We start from the raw sequence: 21684 nt of genomic DNA on the forward strand, positions 1-21684 counted from the left end.
TGGGTGACAGAGCAAGACTCCATCTAAATAATAATAATAATAATAATAATAATAATAATAATAATAATTGGAAAGTGAAAACATTCTATATTAGTGGAACTGGTAAAATAAAGTGCATTCTAAATATTTATAGTAGATATTTATTTAACATAAATGAAACTATCTGTCAGCAAAAACAAATTCAGATTCAGTGCCTCACTTAAAAATCACTGGCTAATAGATAAATTGACTAAACTATTCTCTGAGCACTGAAGAACTGGAATTAATCTACTATTTCAACCATTCACCGTTCCATAAAGATGATTATAAATCCAATATTTAGAATGTCACTTTTTGAGAGATGTGCTTGAATATTCATTCATGGAATCTAGACAGTATATGTTAAAGTTAGTCAATCAGTCACATGAAAAAGAAGGAAACAAATGAGAAAGTAAGATTTCCTTTTTCACATAGGAGACACAATTTGAGTAGTCTTTAGTATGAGATCAGTATTTAGTATAAGATTAGTATTATATTAATCTTTAGTATAAGTTTTTTTAAAAGTCCTCAATGATATGTGATCAATGATATGATGTATTTTATGTAATTAATTCTCATTTTCAACTAGTTTTGGTTGTTATGTGTAAGTAATAAAAGTTAAATAAATGCAGTGAAGTTTTATGGTAAAAATATAAATAACATTTTTTCACTTTTTCATAAATGAACTGAAATAAAATGCTGTGTTCTACTCTTGAGTAAAAATAGAAAGCTATTTATCTTTGCTATTATTCTCAAAACAAAATCTGACTCCTGTTTAGATAACTTATTGATTCTATCAGGATTTCATCCTTTTTTTTTGGCTAAAAGATTACTCCCAAATCTCAAGAATGTAATAGCCTCCCTACACTTATGTGAGTTTATTATACTTACATAATATGAAATGGTTTCCCCTTGCTTTTAATGATTTTTCATATAGATTATAATTATGAATGTTTATTGATGTTTATATTTTATTTTCTACAATACTTTATCTTTTAAATTAATTATATATACCACGTAAAGTTTATCTGAAAGAAATTGGTTTATTTTAATGTTGTCTGAAAAAAAATTGTTCTTTTCAATAGCTCTTAAATCAGTAATTTATATTACTTCCAGCACATTTCATCCTAACACCACCTGGGAAGTAAAATTTTCTGGAGGGTTGGCTTTCATTTCATTCTAAATGTCTGATTGATGAAATTAAGCATGTAAACATTTAAAAAGCTGAATTAAGGGTTCGTGAAAAAAATAATTATTCTTTTACTGTGTCCCTTTAGATTTGTTGCAAGATGAAGCATAAAGTCTAAAATAAACATTTATAACTGCTGAATTTTTGGCTTAAAATACAACCACATTGCAAGAATGATATATAGACATCTAAACTTAGAATTGGAAGAAACCTAAAAAGTTCATCTAGTTATGCAAATCAAAGTATTATATTTTACTTCCCAAAAAACTGACATTTATAATGGCTAAGTTTCCTGCCCAAGTTGACGCAGATAGATAATGACAATTTTACCAAGTGTTTTTTGATTGTAAGCCAACATAATTTCTCATAAAATATATCCATTAAACTTTATACAGATAACAGTTTTTTTTTACCACAGGCCAAATATGTTGATTTGCATGACAAAGACTATTTGAAAAATTGTGATGAATTCTTGGTTTTAGAATTCTTTGTTTGAAATAGAGAAAACAAATAAGATAAAGCATTCTATGTTTCAAAAGTATGTGAGTTAATGTTACAAATAAAAACAGATGCATTTCTTTGAAATATGGAATAACAAGTGATTAGACAACTTTGTGCTCAATAAGAATAAGATCAGTTTCAGATTCATTTTTCTATCTGTGAAATTTAAGACAATGATAGCACAATGTAAAGATCAATAGGGGTAGAATTTTATTAAATGGAAAACACTGTGAAACACTGGAGTGAAAATCTCTGCTTAGATAATTGGGCAACAGTTATATTAAAAGAGTGGCAATGTTTTAATATTGAGAGCTTTTCCAATGAAGTAGAAGAAAAAAACGACAGTAGAAGATTGGATTAATTTCAATTGTTCCTGAATGGTGAAGCATGCTCTAAGATATATAAACGAATGTATTCTGTTGATAATGAAAAAACAAATCTCTTTAGGAATTGCAAAGATCAAAGCCACTCAGAAAGATTTGAGAGATGTTAAAATAAAGCAATGATGTAGTCTAGTTTTCAAAAATTGAAGGTAAATTACAAATTAAAGGTCAAAGTCTTTGGTAGAATTTTTCTTTAAAAAATTAGTGATATCAGTGTTAAAAGTGCAAATATCCTTTTATAATAAATATCTGAATTAATTTTCTCAACTTTCATTTTACTTCCTCTTGTATATGGGAAAATATATAGCTAAAATGACATTTCTCTTATTCCTTTGAGCTACAATCATTGATGTCAATTAAATTCTAACAATTCAGTGCACTCGTGAATTTGAGAGATAAAAGGAGGTAGGTGCCTGGTAGTATAACCTGCAGCATGGTTACAAAAATGTGACTATAAATATATTCCTAAATTTACCTGTGGCTATGTTACAATGTAATTAGGTCTTCAGCAAAATGAATTAACCCTACCTTTGGAGAAATATCATCAATAATCCTTGAGATAATTCTAATCTCTATAGCTACAATATGCTGCTATGGTACAGCAAATTGGGTAGTAGGTTTTTGTTTTGTTTCTGTTTTTGTTTTTGCATTAGTCTATTTCATGGAGAAACCAGTGAATAGATATTCTGCGATTGTAGTTATTCCCCTATATCTTCAATCCACAGTCAGAATAGTCATAAGTTTTTAACTGGCAGAATCTATATTGGCCCCTTGCAACATCAGCTCATTGACATGGGAACATACACTTTCACAGTAGGAAAGACCTCATAGGGTCTTAATGAAAAAGCAAACATGAAAAAATATCCAGGTACAAAGTTGGTTTTCATTATATATGCTGCATAAAAAAATGATCACCAAGAATTAGTGACTTAAAACAATAGTTTTATTAGATCTCATAGTTTTATGAGTCAAGAATCAAGACTAAGCTTTGCAGGTTGATTCCTCTCCTTAATGTAGCATTGACTGTGGCTTATCAAGGTATTCATCAGATTGCTTGCCAAAGTTAGAGGGTCTCAGATGTCTTTACTCATATACCTATGTGAGCATGGATGACTATTAAGTCTAGGCTCCTCTGGGCCTCTCTTCCACTTCCTGTAGTCCCAGAACCCCTCCACATGTCTCTACAAAAAGGTATTTGCATTTCTTACAGGAGGATTCAGGTTTCCTGGAGAACACATTGGCACCTACTCGTCCTTTAATAGAATATGCTCAGAACTGGCATTGTGTTACTTCAACCATATTGCACAAGTCAAAGCATCTACATGTCATACATCTATGAGACAAGTGTCAAAAACTGAGCCACTTTTAATCTGTTACATCCATCCAATCTAAGATGATCTCAGTAATCAATGATCAAATCGGTTCTTTCACTTCCCAGGTTATAAAAGAGATGGCAATATCCAGAAAAGGGGTATCTGTAAAAAGCGTATCTTTTTATTGATGGCAAAAAAAGGTTGTTTGCTGCCTCCTTGCTTGGGGGTATTGATAAATTAACAGAGCATGAAGAAAACTTCCTGTAAAGTTTTCTTTAATTATTTTTTTCAGGAGAGGCTCACAAAAACATAAATATTTCTATTAAAGCACAACAGAACTTAGCCGTTTTATGACTGATGGTCATTTCTCTTCAGGAGTTATGTGTGTGTATGAAGAATGAGACTGGTGTGGGGACAATGTTTGGAGAAACCTAAGGGAGAAGACTGTTGCAATACAATTTCTAGGTGAGGCCTGAAGAAAGAGAGTAGCAATGAGCACAGTCTGGTCCCTATTAAGTGTGGAGGATCAAAGGATAATTTTTGTTGTTGTTGTTTTTGTTTTTTGTTTGTTTGTTTGTTTCTGTAGCAATTGGCTGAAATTGAATGTTAAATGTTTAGTTTTGCTTGTTCATAGACTGTTTCCTGTCCTCCTTGGTACAGTAAGTTAATTCCATGAGGGATGAAATGTGATTTTTAAAATCTGGCTTCAATTTGCAACCCTTAACTTAGTGTGTATTTTTCCTTGAGATATTTAATTAATATGCTTTAATTAATATATATATATTTGTGTGTGTGTTTGTGTGTATATATTCTTAGATTAAATTAATATAGTACTGTAGAGATATGTGAAAGAGGGTAGCAATGGTCACACACATACGTGTGTGTTTGTGTATACATTCTTAGATTAAATTAATATAGTACTGTAGAGATTGTACATTCATATCTCTCTCAATTAACTTATATCATGATTTTTATATGTAACTAATTACTGTTATTTTATTTTAAAGACAGCTTATTCAAGCACACTGATGAAATATCTCAAGGAAAAATACGCACTAAGTTAAGGGTTGCAAACTGAAGCCAGATTTTTAAAATCACATTTCATCCCTCATGGAATTAATTTACTGTACCAAGGAAGACAGGAAACAATGTATGAACACGCAATGTTAAACATTTAACATTCAACTTCACGTGTGTGTGTGTGTGCGTGCGTGTGCACCCATTGCTACCCTCTTTCTTTATTTGCCACATAGAAATTCTATTCCAGTAGTCTTTTCCCTAAGGTTTCTTCAGACATTGTCCCACACCAGACTCATTCCTTATACACACACATAACTCTTGAATTTAATATGTATATAATTTATATGTATATGGATGGAATTTATTTTTTACGGCAATTTTACATCCACACAAATATGAGTAGAAAGGTAGAGAGATGTCTCATGTACTCCCTGACCCACATATGCACAGCTTCCTCCACTATCCAATTCCTGCACAAAAGTGATACATTTATTACAATCAATGAACCTATATTGCCACATCATTCTCACCAAAAGTCTGTAGTTTACATTGAGGTTTACTGTTGGTGTTGTACATTCAATGGGTTGGGACATATGTATAATGACGTGTATCTACCATTATATATTATGCAGATTATTTTCACTGCCTAAAATTTATCTGTGTTCCACCTGTTTATACCTTCTTCCCTCTCTCCCCTCTAACTCCTGGCAATAATTGAGCCTTTACTGTCTCCACAATTTTGCCTTTTCTAAAATATCTTATGATTGAACTAACATAGTTGTAGCCTTTGCAGATAGACTTTTGAAATTAAGCAGTATGCATTTAGGGATCCCCCATGTATTTTCATGCCTAAATAGCTAACTTCCTTTTAATGTTTGCTATAGTTTGCATGTCTCCCCTTCAAAATTTACGTGTTGTTAATGTGATAATATTAAGATGTGGGTTTTAAGAGGTGATTAAACTCTGAGGACTCCTTCCTTATTGGTGGGATTAGGTCTTTATAAAAGAAGCTTCACTCAGGATATGGCTGGCTTGTCAGCTTTTTCCTTTGATCTTTTGTTATGTGAAGACACATCATTCAACCTCTCTTCTTCCTTCTGCCATGTGAATATTCAGCAAGAAGGCAGTCACCAGATACCAAATGCTGGCACTTTGATCTTGGACTTACAGCCTTTAGAACTGTGAGAAATAAATTTCTGTTCTTTATAAATTACCCAGTTTGTGGTATTGTATTAGAGTAGCAAAGATAGTCTAAGGCAATGCTGAATAAAATTCCACTGTCTATACATATCACAGTTTATTTATCCTTTTACCTACTGCAGGACATCTGGTTGCTTCCAAGTTTTGGCAATTATGAATCAATCTTCTGTAAACAATTATGTGTAGGTTTTTGAATAGACATAAATTTCAACTCATTTGGGTAAATAAATACCAAAGAAACTAGTTGCTAGATTATATGTTTAATTTGTAAGAACCATCTCCCAAGCTGTCTTCCAAAGTGGCCGTATTACTTTGCATTCCCACCAGCAGTGAATGAGAGTTCCTGATGCTCCATTTCCTTCTCAGTGTTTGGTGTTGTCATTGTGGTGGATTTTGGCCTCTCTAATAGGTGTGTAGTGATATCCCATTGTTGCTATAGTTTGTAATTCTCTAACAACACATTACGTTGAGCATTTTACCATTTGCTTACTGGCCATATTTATATCTTACTTAGTAAGGTATTTTTGCCCATTTTTCAGTCAGTGTTACTTTGTTATTGTTAAATTTTAAGTGGCTTTTAAAAATATTTTGGATGGGCCAGGCACGGATGGCTCATGCCTATAATCCCAGCCCTTTGGGAGGCCAAGGCAGGTGGATCACCTGAGGTCAGGGGTTCGAGACCATCCTGGCCAACATGGTGAAACTCCGTCTCTACTAAAAATACAAAAAAATTAGCTAGGCATGGTGGCAGGCACCTGTAATCTTAGCTACTCGGGAAGCTGAGGCAGGAGAATCACTTGAACCCGGGCGGCGGAGGTTGCAGTGAGCCGAGATTGTGCCTTGCACTCTAGCCTGGACAGCAAGAGTGAAACTGTGTCTCAAAAAAAAAAAAAAAAAAAAAAAACAGTCCAGGAGCAGTGGCTCATGCCAGTAATCCCAGCACTTTGGGAGGCCGAGGCAGGCAGAACCCTAGGTCAGGAGTTCAAGACCAGCCTGGCCAACACAGTGAAACCCCATCTCTACTAAAAATACAAAAATTAGCTGGGCACGGTGGTGCACAGCCTGTAGTCCCAGCTACTCGGGAAGCTAAGGCAGGAGAATTGCTTGAACCTGGGAGACGGAGGTTGTGGTGAGCCAAGATTGCTCCACTGCACTCCAGCCTGAGCAACAGAGCGAGACTCCACCTCAAAAAAAAAAAAAAAAAAAAAAGGAACTACATTTTCTCCATTGTTACTGATTGACTTAGCTCCTTTGTGAAAAATCAGTTGACTATGTTTATGTGAGACTGTATTTTGAATATTCACGAAATAATTGCTGGGATTTTGTTTGGAATTGCTTTGAAGGTATAAATCCAGTTTGGAAGAGATGATATCTTGGCAATATTGAGTTTTTCTATCAATGAACATGGAATATATATTAATTTATTTAGTCCTTCTTGGATGTCTTTTATCAGAGCTTTATAGTTTTCCTCATATAGAATTTGTACATATTTTGTTAGACCTATACTTACATATTTTATTTTTGGGAGTGCTTCTTTAAATAGTACCATGTTTTAAATTTCACATTCCACTTATTTATTTCTGGTGTAAAGAAATGCATTGGCTTTTTAATATTAACCCTGCATCCTACAACTTTCCTGTAATCCCTTACTAGTTCTAGGAAGTTTTGGATCAATCACTTTGCAGTTTCTAAATAGATGATCATCTTTTCCAGAAAAAAATATGTTCTTCCTTTCCAATCAGTATACCTTTTATTTCCTTTTATTGAATTATTACATTAGCTAGGACTATTACTACATTGTTAAAAAGGAGTGGGGAGGGGACATCCTTGCCTTGTTTTTTAGTGGAAAACTTCTAGTTTCTTACCAGTAAGTATGATGTCAGTTTGTGTGTGTGTGGTTTTTGTTTGTCTGTTTCGTTATCAAGTTGAAAAAAGTCTTCCTGTATATATAGTTTACCGAGAAGTTGTAGCTTTTTGTTTTTGTTTTCTTTTTTGTCATAAATAGATGTTGGATTTTGTCAAGTGCTTTTTGTCTCTAGAAGTTCAATGCACTATCCATTGAGCCACACAGCCAGAAATCAAGTGCTTTTCCTGCATCTATTGATAGGATCATGTGATTTCTGTTCTTTAATTTGTTGATGTGATGGATTACACAAATTGATTTTTAAATGTTGAACCAACCTTACATACCTGGTATAAATGCCACTTGGTTGGAGTCTATAATCCTTTTTATATATTGCTGAATTTGATTTGCTAACATTTTGTTGAGAACTTTTGTGTCCATGTTCATGAGAGATATTGGTATGTAGTTTTCATTTCTTTTAATGTTTTTGTCTATTTTTGGCATTTTGTAATACTGACTGCAGAGGATGCACTAACAAGTATTCTCTCTGCTTCTGTATTCTGAAAGAGATTTTAGATAAGAGCATAATTTCTTCCTTAAATTTTTGGTAGAATTTATAATAGAATACATCTGGTTCTGGTGTTTCTGTCTTGCAAAGTCATTAATTACTTATTCAGTTATTTTAATAGCAACAAGCCTATTCAAATTGCCTGTTTCATTTTGTGTGAGCCTTGGTAGATTATGTCTATCATGAAATTGTTCCATTTTATCCATGATACCAAATTTATGGGCACAGAGTTGTTCATATACTTGATGTATAGTGATATCCCATTCCTCACTTTTGATTTTTAGTAATTTGTATATTTTTCCTTTATTTCATAGTCTGTTTAGAGGCTTATTGATTTTATATTTTTTTTTCTCTAAGAACCATATTTGGTCTTCATCGTATTTCTATATTTATTCCCTGTTTTGAGTTTTAATGATTTCTACTTTGAAATTAATTTGTTCTTATTCTTATATTTTTAATGTGAAAGATTATTCATTTCATATTTTTCTTCTCTTCTAATATAGACATTCATGCTATCCATTTTCCTCTAAGCGCTGCTTTTTCTACATACCATAGCTTTTGATAGGTTGCATTCACATTTTTATTTTGTTTAAATGTTCTTTTAATTTCTTTTGAGATTTCTTTTTTGATTCATGTGTTATTCAGATGTGTATTTTTCAGCTTTCATTCTGTTGCTGATTAATATCAGTTTGATATCATTGTGGTCTGAGGAAAACATTGCATAATTTCTACTTTTAAAAAACAGTGAATTGATAAGGTGAATTTATGGCCCAGAATGTGTGGTTCGTCTTACTGAACGTTCCATGTGAGTTTTGAGAACGTGTAGTCTGCCATTTTTGAATGAAGTAGTTGATAGATGTTACTTATGTTCAGTTAATTGATGGTGTTGTTGAATTCAGCTATATTCTTACAATTTTTTTGGCTTCTGGATCTATTCGTTTCTTACAGAGGGGTATTAAAGTCTCAAATCATCTTAATAGATTTATCAATTTCTCCCTGCATTTCTATTAGTTTTTGCCTCATATATTTTGACATTCTGTTGTTAAGCATATACACATTAAAGATTGTTATGTCTTCTTGGAGAATTGACCATTTTATCTTTATGTAATTCTCCAATTTAATCTCTGATAATTTTATTACTCTGACGTCTGCTCTGTATGAAATTAATATAGTTATTCTACCTTTATTTTGATTAGAGTTAGTGTGGTAAATCTTTCTAATGTATTTAGTTTGAATCTACATGGATTTTCATATTTAAAGTGTGTGTGTGTGTGTGTGTGTGTGTGTGTGTGCAAACAACATATGTAAATCTCTCTGTTTACATTGCCTTCCTGTTCTTGGATGCTGTCAACTTTGTCCATTAGAGTTCTTACTGTATTAATCATAGTTATTTTAAATTCATGTCTCATAATTCTGTCACCCCCACCACATCTATGTCTGCTTCTGATACTCATTATGTCTCTTCAAACTGTTTTTTACATTTAGTATTTCTCATAAGTTTTTATTGATAGCTGGACATAGAGTATTGGATAAAAAGAACTGTGATAAATTAGGTATTTAGTATTGTAATGTGGAAAAGTGTGGTGGTTGAGGAATTCTGTAGATCTCTAACTAGGTCTCAGTCTTTTAGTGAGCCTGTGTCTCTGGACTGTGAACTTCACAGGTTCTCATTCCTCTTCCACACACACACACACACACACACACACACACATCTTTTAGGTGGGACAGGAAGCCTACTTAGGCTTGAGAGTGCTGGAGTTGGATGCTGTATTAGTCCATTTTCTTACTGCAGATAAAGACATACCCAAGACTTCGCAATTTACAAAAGAAAGAGTTTTAATGGACTTACAGTTCCACATAGCTGGGGAGGCCTCATAATCATGGCAGAAGGAAAGGAGGAACAAGTCATGTTTGACATGGATGGTGGAAGGCAAAGAGAGAGCTTGTGCAGGGAAACTCCCCTTTTTAAAACCATCAGATCCAGTGAGACTTACTCACTATCAAAAGAACGGCAAGGGAAAGACCTGACGCCATGATTCAATTACCTCCCACCAGGTCCTTCCCACAACAGGTGGGAATTCAAGATGAGATTTGGAGGGGAACACAGACAAACTATAGCAGGCATTTTCCATCTCTCACGTGATAGGCTAGAGTAGACTGGAATTAGTTATTTCCTATCTCCCAGGTAGGCTAGGCTCTGAAAATTAAAAAATAGCCCATAGCTTAAACCTGGGTAAAACAGTTTCTCTTGAGAGCAGGTCTTGTTTAGGAGAACAGAAAGTTCTGGTGTTATTTCAGAATGGCTACTCCCCTCTCTCCTGACTAAAAGCAGGAGAGGATTTTTTTCTCCAGTGCTCACTGTGGGAGTCTGGTTGAGCACCTGGAAATAAAAGTCAGAAAAGTGTGGGTATCTCCTTAGTCTGGGTCCCTCTGCAGATTTTAACTAAAACTTGCCACACTGAGGCCTAGTAATCTGTAGATTACAGTTTAGATTTTTCTACCCCCACACTGGTTCCTGCAGAAGTTTCTTATAGGTTTTGGCTCCAGTAAGTTGTGATATTCTGAATCTGCCTGTCTGTATTTCCAGTTTTGAGGGCTGAAGTTTGTCCTATGACCTCTCTTCTCTGACAGATCTAAGAAGAATTATTGATTTCTCAGTTTGTTCAGTCTTTACTAGTTGTTAGGATGGATTAATGACTTCCAGGCTTCTCACATGCCAGACCAGAAGCTGGAAGTCCAAGGCTTATATTTTAAATCATGCAAATTATGCTGGCAAATTATGTCTGCCTCCCCATATTCTAATCCAATATTAACAATTTAGCAGTTATCTTCCTGACAGATTGATTGATCATCTAATTAACTACAAGTAAATGTTTAATTTTGTATTTCTTTTTGATTAGATCAATGATCTCGAAAACTTTTTTATCCATACACTCCTATTAGTAAATTAAAAATTGGAACATTAACTTCCACTATCTCCATACTTACTTATGATGTTGAAAAACTGTAGGTATAATACCAAACCCATATAGACTTTTTATATTTTAATGTACAGATAAGATAGACATTAAAGAATATGATTCTATATGTGTTTCTGTACATACTCACCACACGGACACACATATGTAAATTTATAATGTACAATTCCTGTACCACAATCACAATGAATTATCCTATAAATCCCATGGGTTGCATGCCTTCAATTTTGTGATGATGGCCTAGATAACTATTTTAAGAGATTCAAGCTAATTCCTAATATTCCCCTTGCACATAGCTTCTCTGACGCTAAAGAAAAGGGAATATCATGGTATATAAATGTTACAGTAAACTGTAATCTTCAAGAAATACATTCTATTTGCTATGAATGTCATATAAATTATTAGAATTCAAAAGACACAAGTATTAAAAATTTTCTAATGGGGTACCTTGGAAATACGTGTTTTATGTGATTTGTACTCATATGGGAAATGTTTAAGAGCTCAAATTTCTGTCTCCAGAGAATTTTCTCTTTTTATCAAGATAACTTATTCCCCCAAGATCCACAAAATTTCTTTGTTATTACTCTCTTCTAGATTATTTTGGAACCCCAGGAGGCTGTGATTGCTACAGGAAAGATTTCATGAACTGAAACACACTTTACAACACAATACAAAAATTATCTTAAGTAATCATATTATGTTTTTACTGTGATTATATAAAAGTGTACATCATGCACACTTTTATATAATCATATATACTTTTATACAATCACAGTAAAAACAATATTTATCCTACATGTCAATATTACACATTTTAAAGAAATAGTGGTGCTTTTATTTTTCAATTTATGTAGATATCAAGCTATATAATAAACAACCCAATGGAATCAGCACAGGGTTTTCCTTATAAGAAAGTATCTATTTCTTGATATTTTAACAATATCTCAATTAAGATGTATATATTTTAAGTGTATCATTATTTGTATATGAAAATGTAGAATTTTCTTTACAAAATGACATTTGACGGCAGAAATTATTTTTCAGATTACACGTACTTATTATAAATATGTGTGTCATTTTTAAAAATATTACTAGTATGACTCTTTGACAAATTGCCAGCTGAAAACTGCCATTCAACTGAAAAGAATCTACCTTTGAAGACATAGAATAAGTATATTTAGAGGATGTGAAGAAATAGGGACACTTTTACACTGTTGGTGGGACTGTAAACTAGTTCAACCATTGTGGAAGTCAGTGTGGCGATTCCTCAGGGATCTAGAACTAGAAATACCATTTGACCCAGCCGTCCCATTACTGGGTATATACCCAAAGGACTATAAATCATGCTGCTATAAAGACACATGCACACATATGTTTATTGTGGCACTACTCACAATAGCAAAGACTTGGAACCAACCCAAATGTCCAACGATAGACTGGATTAAGAAAATGTGGCACATATACACCATGGAATACTATGCAGCCATAAAAAATGATGAGTTCATGTCCTTTGTAGGGACATGGATGAAATTGGAAATCATCATTCTCAGTAAACTATCGCAAGAACAAAAAACCAAACACCACATATTCTCACTCATAGGTGGGAATTGAACAATGAGAACACATGGACACAGGAAGGGGAACATCACACTCTGGGGACTGTTGTGGGGTGGGGGGAGGGGGGAGGGATAGCATTGGGAGATATACCTAACGCTGGATGACGAGTTAGTGGGTGCCGCGCACCAGCATGGCACATGTATACATATGTACCTAACCTGCACAATGTGCACATGTACCCTAAAACTTAAAGTATAATAATAATAATAATAATAAATAAATAAAATAAAATAAAATAAAATAAAAAATAAAAAATAAAAAATTTCCAAATTAAAAAAAAAAGAATAAGTAAATTTGAACAGGGAAAGAAACATAATAATAATTGATTCATAATGTGAGAAAACACTAAGCAAAGCTACTCCTGTCATTAATGAAACTTAGGCAGCCAGGGTTGCAGATGTTGGGTTAGAAATAAGTCAAAACTAAGTATTTTTGTGGGTAAAAAAACCTTTGAATAACATTTAATATATGTCAGCAAATACAAATGATCTACCTCTGGGAGTCAAGTATATCAGCTAGACACAAAAATTTTCAGAAAATCAGGAAATTCTTTATGAAAAGAATACACATACATGCTGTTTAAAAACACAAAAATAAAATGACTGATCAGAGTTTGTTTTTATTCAGACATTAGCTGAATTAACAACTCTGGGCAAAGATACTTCTTATTTTAGATAAATGTTTCCAGAATGATTTTGATATTTTAACTACCCTTTCCCTCTTGGTCTCATAGCAGCTTATATTTGAATTTACCATAACTTTCACGATGCTATATAGTAGTCTCATTAACATGATTTTCCTTGAACAAACTGTCTCCTAGGACCAGAATCATGTTTGCAAGATGATTGCAGTGTTTTTGGTGCTGGCGCACGGTCTGTAATAAATTGCCTCGTACACATGAATAAATGGAGAATTGAATGAATGACTGATAGAATAAACATTTTAGACTAGTCTAAAATTTGCTTTTTTTAATTTAACACATTATTTAAAAATACAGATCTCTAAAATAACAGACAAGTGATCAAGACATTACTAACAAACTTGCAAGAAACATAGTAAAAACACACAAAGTTGTATCTGATGGCCAAAATCAAATAAACGCAAAGAATGATAAATATATGCCACCCAACTGCACATTAGTATGAAGCAGAAATATTTTTTTAAATGCCAAGTGAAATTGGCTGAACTTTTGCCATGCTTAGGGCGAAGGAGTGATCAATTTGGTAAAAAATAGGGCACTTCTGGAGTCACTAAAACAGAAATGTCATACTGCTTATCACAAATGTAGAATGGCTTCGTTTTCTCTGTTTGAAAAAACAATTGTCTTTTTATAAGTAGTCTGTATGAGATAGATATGAAAGTTTCTAAGAATAGTTTCATGTAATTTTTATTTTAAATTTTTTAAAAAAGTATCACCTAGATAGTCAGGCTAGTGAAGTTTTCAACACTAGTAAGACATTTCCAGAGGCACAGCCGGGAGCACTATTTCCTGACAGGTTCTTTCTGGTATGGACTATCTTCAGGAATTTGATTTCTCAGCTCTCTGATTGCCACATGAATTAGAAAAAGAAGAGAGGTGCTAATCACAAGATGCAAGCTATACCATTGCCTGTAATTGTGAGGCATCATTACATGTGGTTGGAGGTTAAGGTTGCTTGTGTGCTTTTGTGTGTGTCATACTCAGAATTTCCTATATACAATTATTATTTTAAAATTTTCAAACAAAAATATGAAAGGCACTGGTTTCATTGAAATCATTAACAGAAAGATGATCTTTCTTTCTGTTTGTCTTTCCTTTTTGTTTTTGGAGTTTTTTTGCCTAAATATATAGGCTTCAAATGTTTACTAATTCTATGAGAAGTTTTTAGGCTACCTAAGAAGAGTTACAAAAAATTTAACTACAACCTAAAAGTTTTGTGGAAGCTAAAGCCTATTCTCCCAATAATAATATAGAAAACAAAAAATCTGTTTCATTCATGTGAATATTTAAGCTGGTGCTTAGAACATAGTGTATGAATTATTATTAGTATAACTCTAAGTAGTTACTAGAAGTAGTAGTAATAGTAATAATATTAAAAGAGTTGTCTTGATGTCAGGTACAGAAAATGTTAGAAACAGCTCAAAAGCACTTATAATTTATGCATAAATGTATAGTATAAATTTATGCAATAATACATATGTATTGGATGATTTTGATTGAATATTAATGCCACCATAATCGTTAGAGAAAATGTATTAAAGTTTTTGAGAGGGTCAGAACAAAATAGAAATATGAAAACACATTTTAATATTTCTCTGAATTTTCATCATGCTAAAAATAGCTAGAAATTGTCAGAACACTATTGAGATTAAAAAGTAATGAGAATTAACTAATTGAAATAATGCAGCTATTCTTAAAATGTTAAATACCATTAACATATTTTAATTGAAAAGCAATTCTGCTTGAACATTTTAAAATTTTACATAATCAACTTGAAATGATAGGTAGTTCATTATTGTAAATAAAGTTTAATCTATTTTATACAAATCAAAATGTTAGATAAATATTAAACATGAAATGGGCAAAAGAGGGTAAAAATACAGTAATAATTATCAAATCAAATAATGAACCATATTAGCATTCAAAAATTTAAAAAATTATAAAATATAACTTTTTTATTATTGTTATACTTTAAGTTCTGTGACACATGTGCAGAATGTGCAGATCTGTTACATAGGTATACACGTGCCATGGTGGTTTGCTGCACCCATCAACCCATCATCTTCATTAGGTATTTCTCCCAGTGCTATCCCTCCCATAGCCCCCCACCTCCTGACAGGCCCCACTGTGTGATGTTCCCCTCCCTGTGTCCATGTGTTCTCATTGTTCAATTCCCACTTCCCACTGAGTGAGAACATGCGGTGATTGGTTTTCTGTTTGTGTGTTAGTTTGCTGAAAATGATGGCTTCTAGCTTCATCCATGTCCCTGTAAGGGACATAAGCTCATCCTTTTTTATGGCTGCATAGTATTCCATGGTGTATGTGTGCCACATTTTCTTTATCCAGTCTATCATTGATGGGCATTTGGATTGGTTCCAAGTCTTCGCTATTGTGAATAGTGCTCATGTGTCTTTATAGTAAAATGATTTATAAACAAACGTGTTCATGTGTCTTTATAGTAGAACGATTTATAACCTTTGGGGTATATATATACCCAGTAATGGGATCACTGGGTCAAATGGTATTTCTGGTTTTACATCCTTGAGGAATCACCACATTGTCTTCCACAATGGTTGAACTAATTTACACTCCCACCAACAGTGTAAAAGTGTTCCTGTTTATCCACATCCTCTCCAGCATCAGTTGTTTCCTGACTTTTTAGTGATCACCATTCTAACTGGTGTGAGATGTTATCTCATTGTGGTTTTGATTTGCATTTCTCTAATGACCAGTGATGATGAGCTTTTTTACATGTTCATTGGCTGCATAAATGTCTTTTTTTGAGAAGTGCCTGTTGATATCCTTTGCCCACTTTTTGATGCAGTTGTTTTTTTTTTCCTTGTAAATTTATTTAAGTTCCTTATAGATTCTAGATATTAGCCCTTTGTCCGATGGATAGATTGCAAAAATTTTCTCCCATTCTGTAGGTTGCCTGTTTACTCTGATGATAGTTTATTTTGCTGTGCAGAAGCTCTTTAGTTTAATTAGACCCCATATTTCAAGTTTCGCTTTTGTTGCTGTTCCTTTTGGTGTTTTAGTCATGAAGTCTTTGCCCACAACTATGTCCTGAATGGTATTGCCTAGGTTTTCTTCTAGGTTTTAGGTCTTACATTTAAGTCTTTAATCCATCTTGAGTTAATTTTTGTATAAAGTGTAAGGGAGGGGTCCTGCTTCAGTTTTCTGCATATGGCTAGCCAGTTTTCTCAACACCGTTTATTAAATAAGGAATCCTTTCCCCATTGCTTGTTTTTATCAGGTTTATCAAAAATCAGATGGTTGTAGATGTGTGGTATTATTTCTGAGGCCTCTGTTCTATTCTATTGGTATGTATATCCGTTTTGGTACCAGTAACATTCTGTTTTGGTTACTGTAGCCTTGTAGTACAGTTTGAAGTTAGGTAGCGTGATGCCTCCAGCTTTGTTCTTTTTGCTTAGGGTTGCCTTGGCTATACAGACTCTTTTTTTGGTTCCACGTGAAATTTAACATAGTGTTTTCTAATTCTGTGAAGAAAGTCAATGGTAGTTTGATGGGGATAGCGTTGAATCTATAAATTACTTTGGACAGTATGGCCATTTTCACGATACTGATTCTTCCTATCCATGAGCATGGAATGCTTTTCCATTTGTTTGTGTCCTCTTTTATTTCCTTGAGCAGTGGTTTGCTGTTCTCCTTGAAGAGGTCCTCCACATCCCTTGTAAGTTGCATTCCTAGGTATTTTATTCTCTTTGTAGAAATTGTGAATGGGAGTTCACTCATGATTTGGTTGTTTGTCTATTATTGGTGTATAGGAATGCTTGTGATTTTTGCACATTGATTTTCTATCCTGAGACTTTGCCAAAGTTGCTTATCAGCTTAAGGAGGTTTTGGGCTGAGACAATGGGGTTTCCTAAATACACAATCATGTCATCTGTAAACAGAGACTATTTGACTTCCTCTCTTCCTATTTGAATACCCTTTATTTCTTTCTCTTGTCTGATTGCTCTGGCCAGAACTTTCAATACTCTGTTGAGCAGGAGTGGTGAGAGAGGGCATCATTGTCTTGTGCTGGTTTTCAAAGGGAATGTTTCCACTTTTTCCCATTTAGTATAATATTGGCTGTGGGTTTGTCATAAATAGCTCTTACTATTTTGTGATATGTTCCAGCAATACCTAGCTTATTGTGAGTTTTTAGCATGAAGGGCTGTTGAATTTTATTGAAGGCCTTTTCTGCATCTATTGAGATAATCATGTGGTTTTTGTCATTGGTTCTGTTTATGTGATGGATTACATTTATTGATTTGCATATGTTGAACCAGCCTTGCATCCCAAGGATAAAGCCAACTTGATCGTGGTGGATAAGCTTTTTGATGTGCTGCTGGATCCCGTGTGTAAATCCTCAAAATAGAACTTGTTTTAAATATCTAGCTTATATGTAGCAGTTTGTCACATTCAAAGCCCTAGCGATTAACAGCACAATATCACACACAAAAGGCAGATATATATCAAAGGCATATATTGCTGTATAATTTACTGTAATTCAAAATGTTTAACCAATTTCCTGAAAAGAGAAATGGCTAGGTATATGGTCTGATATATGTAAATACACAGAAATATATATTAAAAATTTTAGAGTTATAGCAATATGAAAATACATCAAATAAAACAAGATAGAAAATTCATCAGAAATATCTCATACTTAAAAAAAAATAGCCTATTGTATTGAAATAAATAAGTTCCCCACCATGTATCCTGGTAAACTATCATGATTATTTGGGGTGGTAGTTTCACAAATATTTTGTTTCTTTATAATTTTCTAACATTAGCCATACTTTAATAATAACCATGAATTGTTTATAAAATAAAAATTAAATATTAATAATTAATCAAATTCCAACATTAAAATCAGTTAGCAGCTGGGGTGGTGGCTCACACCTATATCCCAGCACCTTGGAAGGCTGAGGCAGGTGGATCACTTGAGGCCAGGAGTTCAAGAGCAGCCTGGCCAACATGGGAAACCCCATGTCTATTAAAAATACAAAAACATTTGGCCAGGTGTGGTGGTGCATGCCTGTAGTCTCAGCTACTCGGGAGGCTGAGGCAGGAGAATCTCTTGAACCCAGGAGGTGGAGGTTACAGTGAGCCGAGATGGTGCCATTGCACTCCAGCCTGGGTGACAGAGCAAAGCTCCATCTCAAAAAAATAAAATTAAAATAAAAAGAATAAAACCAGTAAGCCCTAAATTGTCAACCTCAAAATTAGATCTTATTTATAGTTTCAACTATTATTTAATTCTCAATTGTGGTGTTCAGTATAATGTTTAAAAAAGTGTATATTTTTAAAAAACTTTTTAACTTTTTAAAATTACATGTATATATAAATTTAACATAGACAAGATTACTAATTTGAAAGAAAATGGTTTTTTCTTCTGTAGACATTATCTTGTCTGACTTCTATATCAAGGGTGAAACAAATGACATTTACATACTGTCATAGCTAAATTTTGTTCAGATATAAATTAAGAAAGAAAGGCAATTTAATAGAAGAGAATTTGATTTGTACAAACAATCTAACATATTGTCACACTGTGGAAGAAACATTTTATAATAATCTTATTTTTGTAAATTACCCCTTTGGAAAAAAAAAAAAAAGAAGCTTAACCCACCTGAGTAAGTTTCATATATTTACTAGCAGGGAAAATATAATATTTAAAATAATCTCACTTTTTAAGGACATTTTAGTGGCATGAAATGTCATCTTCTTTCCATGCATTTTTGAAACTAAACATTTTTATCTGTGGGCTTCTTCTTTGCGGCAATTCAGTATAAAAAAAAATTCCAATGCGAACTGAAACCTGAGACATTTGCTCATCTTACTGTCTATATTAGCATGACCTTTCTCTTTGGTTGTCTGCATCAACATGGCTTTACTATTTCAAGAAACTCTTACATAGAAACCTACACATATTAGTTATAATTATTAGCAATAATATCTATATTATATCTATATTATAATTATTATAATTATAACAAATTATATTATATATATATTTATATATAAAAATATAAAAAATAAAAATAATATAAAAATAAATATAAAATATATGTTATATTATAACAAATAATATCTATATTATAATTATTAGCAATAATATAGATATTATTGCTATCTAATAATAACACAAACTTAACTACTCAAAAATAAAAAAAAAAAAACACTAATCACACAACTCAGAATTGGAGATAGATGATTGGTTTGTTGTCTCACAGTTTCATAGGCCAGAAGTCTGGCCTGGCTTGAATGCTCATGTTTTAAAGTATTGCAAGGCTGAAATCAAAGTGCTGTCCAGGTGGAACTTTTGTCTGGAGACTTTGGCAAAGACTATGCCTCCAAGGTCACTCAGGTTGTTAATTAGAATTCTGCAGCATACAGTTGTAGAACTGAAGCCACCATTTCCTTCCTGGCTATTGGCTGGGGCCTGCTCTCAGCTTCTAGGCTCCCTTATTCCCTGCTGCAGGCTCCCTTCCATCTTCAAGCCAGCAATAGTACTTAAGAATCCTTCTAATGCTTCAAATCTATCGTATGTCCCTTTCTATCATGAATTAGAGAAAACTCGCCTTTTAAATGGCTCATTTGGCTAGATTGGGCCCACATGGATATTCTCTCTTTTGAATAAGTCAAAATCAACTGATTGGTAGCCTTAATTACATATGCCACATCCCTTTGTCATGTAACGTAACAATCGTGGGTTTCATATTTCATCATATAAACAAGTGGCTCAGAACTTTTTTGGCACCAGGAAGGTTTCCTAAAAGAAAATTTTTCCACAGAAGGGAGTGCTGGGGCTGAGGATGGTTTCTGGATGAAACTGTTCCAAAGAAGGTGGTGCTGGGGCTGAGGATGGTTTCTGGATGAAACTGTTCCACCTCAGATCATCAGGCATTAGTTAGATTCTCATAAGGAGCACACAACCTAGATCCCTTGCGTGCAGAGTTCACAACAGGGTTTGGGCTCCTATGAGAATCTAATACCCCACTGATCTGACAGGAGGCGGAGCTCAGGTAGTAATGTAAACAATGGGGAGTGGCTGTAAACACAGAGGAAGCTTCACTGGCTCTCCTACCACTCATCTCCTGTTGGGCTGCTTAGTTCTCAACAGGCCACAGACTGGTACTGGACTGTGACTTGGGGACTGCAGACTTGACTTATAAACAGTATTGCATGGATTTTGGTAGAAAAGCATAAGGGTAGCATTTTAGAGCTCTTTCTATCACAATTCAAATCAGAAATACAGTTTTCATTCATTTTAAAAGCTTTCATAAAACCTAACATCCAGTATAAGATGTCACTAAGATTCACACTAAGATTGGAACAATCTTTGGAACAGTAGTCAAGAAATGGGAGGATTATCCTGTGGGATTATCCTGAGGACAGCTTTACAAACAAAACATGCACTGATGTGGTGGAGAGAAACACTTGGGAGCTTTTCTTGTAGAACACTGAATGATTAATAAGCCAAAGGTTTCATGAGGAAATGAAAAAGAGCTTCCTTTTGAGGGAAGGTAGAATTTTGCTGTGCACAATTGGCAGCAGTAGGCAGCAGTAAAGGCCAGGATTATACACAGCAGAACAGAGGGGCAAAGCAGGCAGCACCAGCACAGACCAGCAAAGCAGAGAACATCTGCTAGCCAGGACGCCAAGATAAATTAAACTAATCAAGAGATGACTCAACAGTTGGAGATTTATGAGGACACTGTTTACTACATCAGTGCTTGGGTGACCAGCATATGCCCTTGAGTGAAAAGAAGGGACAGATGAAGTGGGAAGAAACAATGAAAGACTGCCTGTATCCCCCGAAGTGATTAAACTATGAATTGGACAATAATGACAATATTAATCAAATCACTAGATCTGACTGAGTATACTGAATTGAAATAAAATAAAATTTTTGCTTAGGCAAATTGGGGAAATAAATTAAAATGTAAGCTTGTGTGCAGAAAATAATGAAAATTTGCTTTTATCTACATGTGAATCCCAGCATCTAAATTTGATTCTACTTCAGTTTCAAGAGATACAGTAAACACATGAGAGGTAGAAAACTATTGTATCAATTTGTGGGTTCAATGGGCTCTGAGGGTCCTGCCATCACACTTGTTTTTTATATCCATTGCATCATTGCAGTGACACAACATCTGCCCTCTGAAATGTAGAAAATAAAGAAAAATTCCAAATAAGCACTCCTCAATGAGCAAGTATATAGATGTATCATCTTTAACATTAGCGACTCCCATATATTTTCTGTGTGTGTGCATGTGTGATTTACCATTTCTGGAAAACTACAGATATGATTCAAAATAGTCCTGGGTCACTTGTTAATT

At 33.8% G+C, this 21684-nt stretch overlaps 1 annotated feature.

Moving 5' to 3' along the window:
• Positions 5182–5698: an enhancer, noted in NCBI's record as "OCT4-NANOG hESC enhancer chr5:25500627-25501143 (GRCh37/hg19 assembly coordinates)". NCBI's record gives its function as "activates a minimal SCP1, AML or CMV promoter by ChIP-STARR-seq in naive H9 embryonic stem cells {active_cell/tissue: H9 hESC(naive)}" and the evidence as "EXISTENCE:reporter gene assay evidence [ECO:0000049][PMID:30033119]".

Source organism: Homo sapiens, chromosome 5 (genome assembly GCF_000001405.40).
Source record: "Homo sapiens chromosome 5, GRCh38.p14 Primary Assembly".
Taxonomy (NCBI): domain Eukaryota; kingdom Metazoa; phylum Chordata; class Mammalia; order Primates; family Hominidae; genus Homo; species Homo sapiens.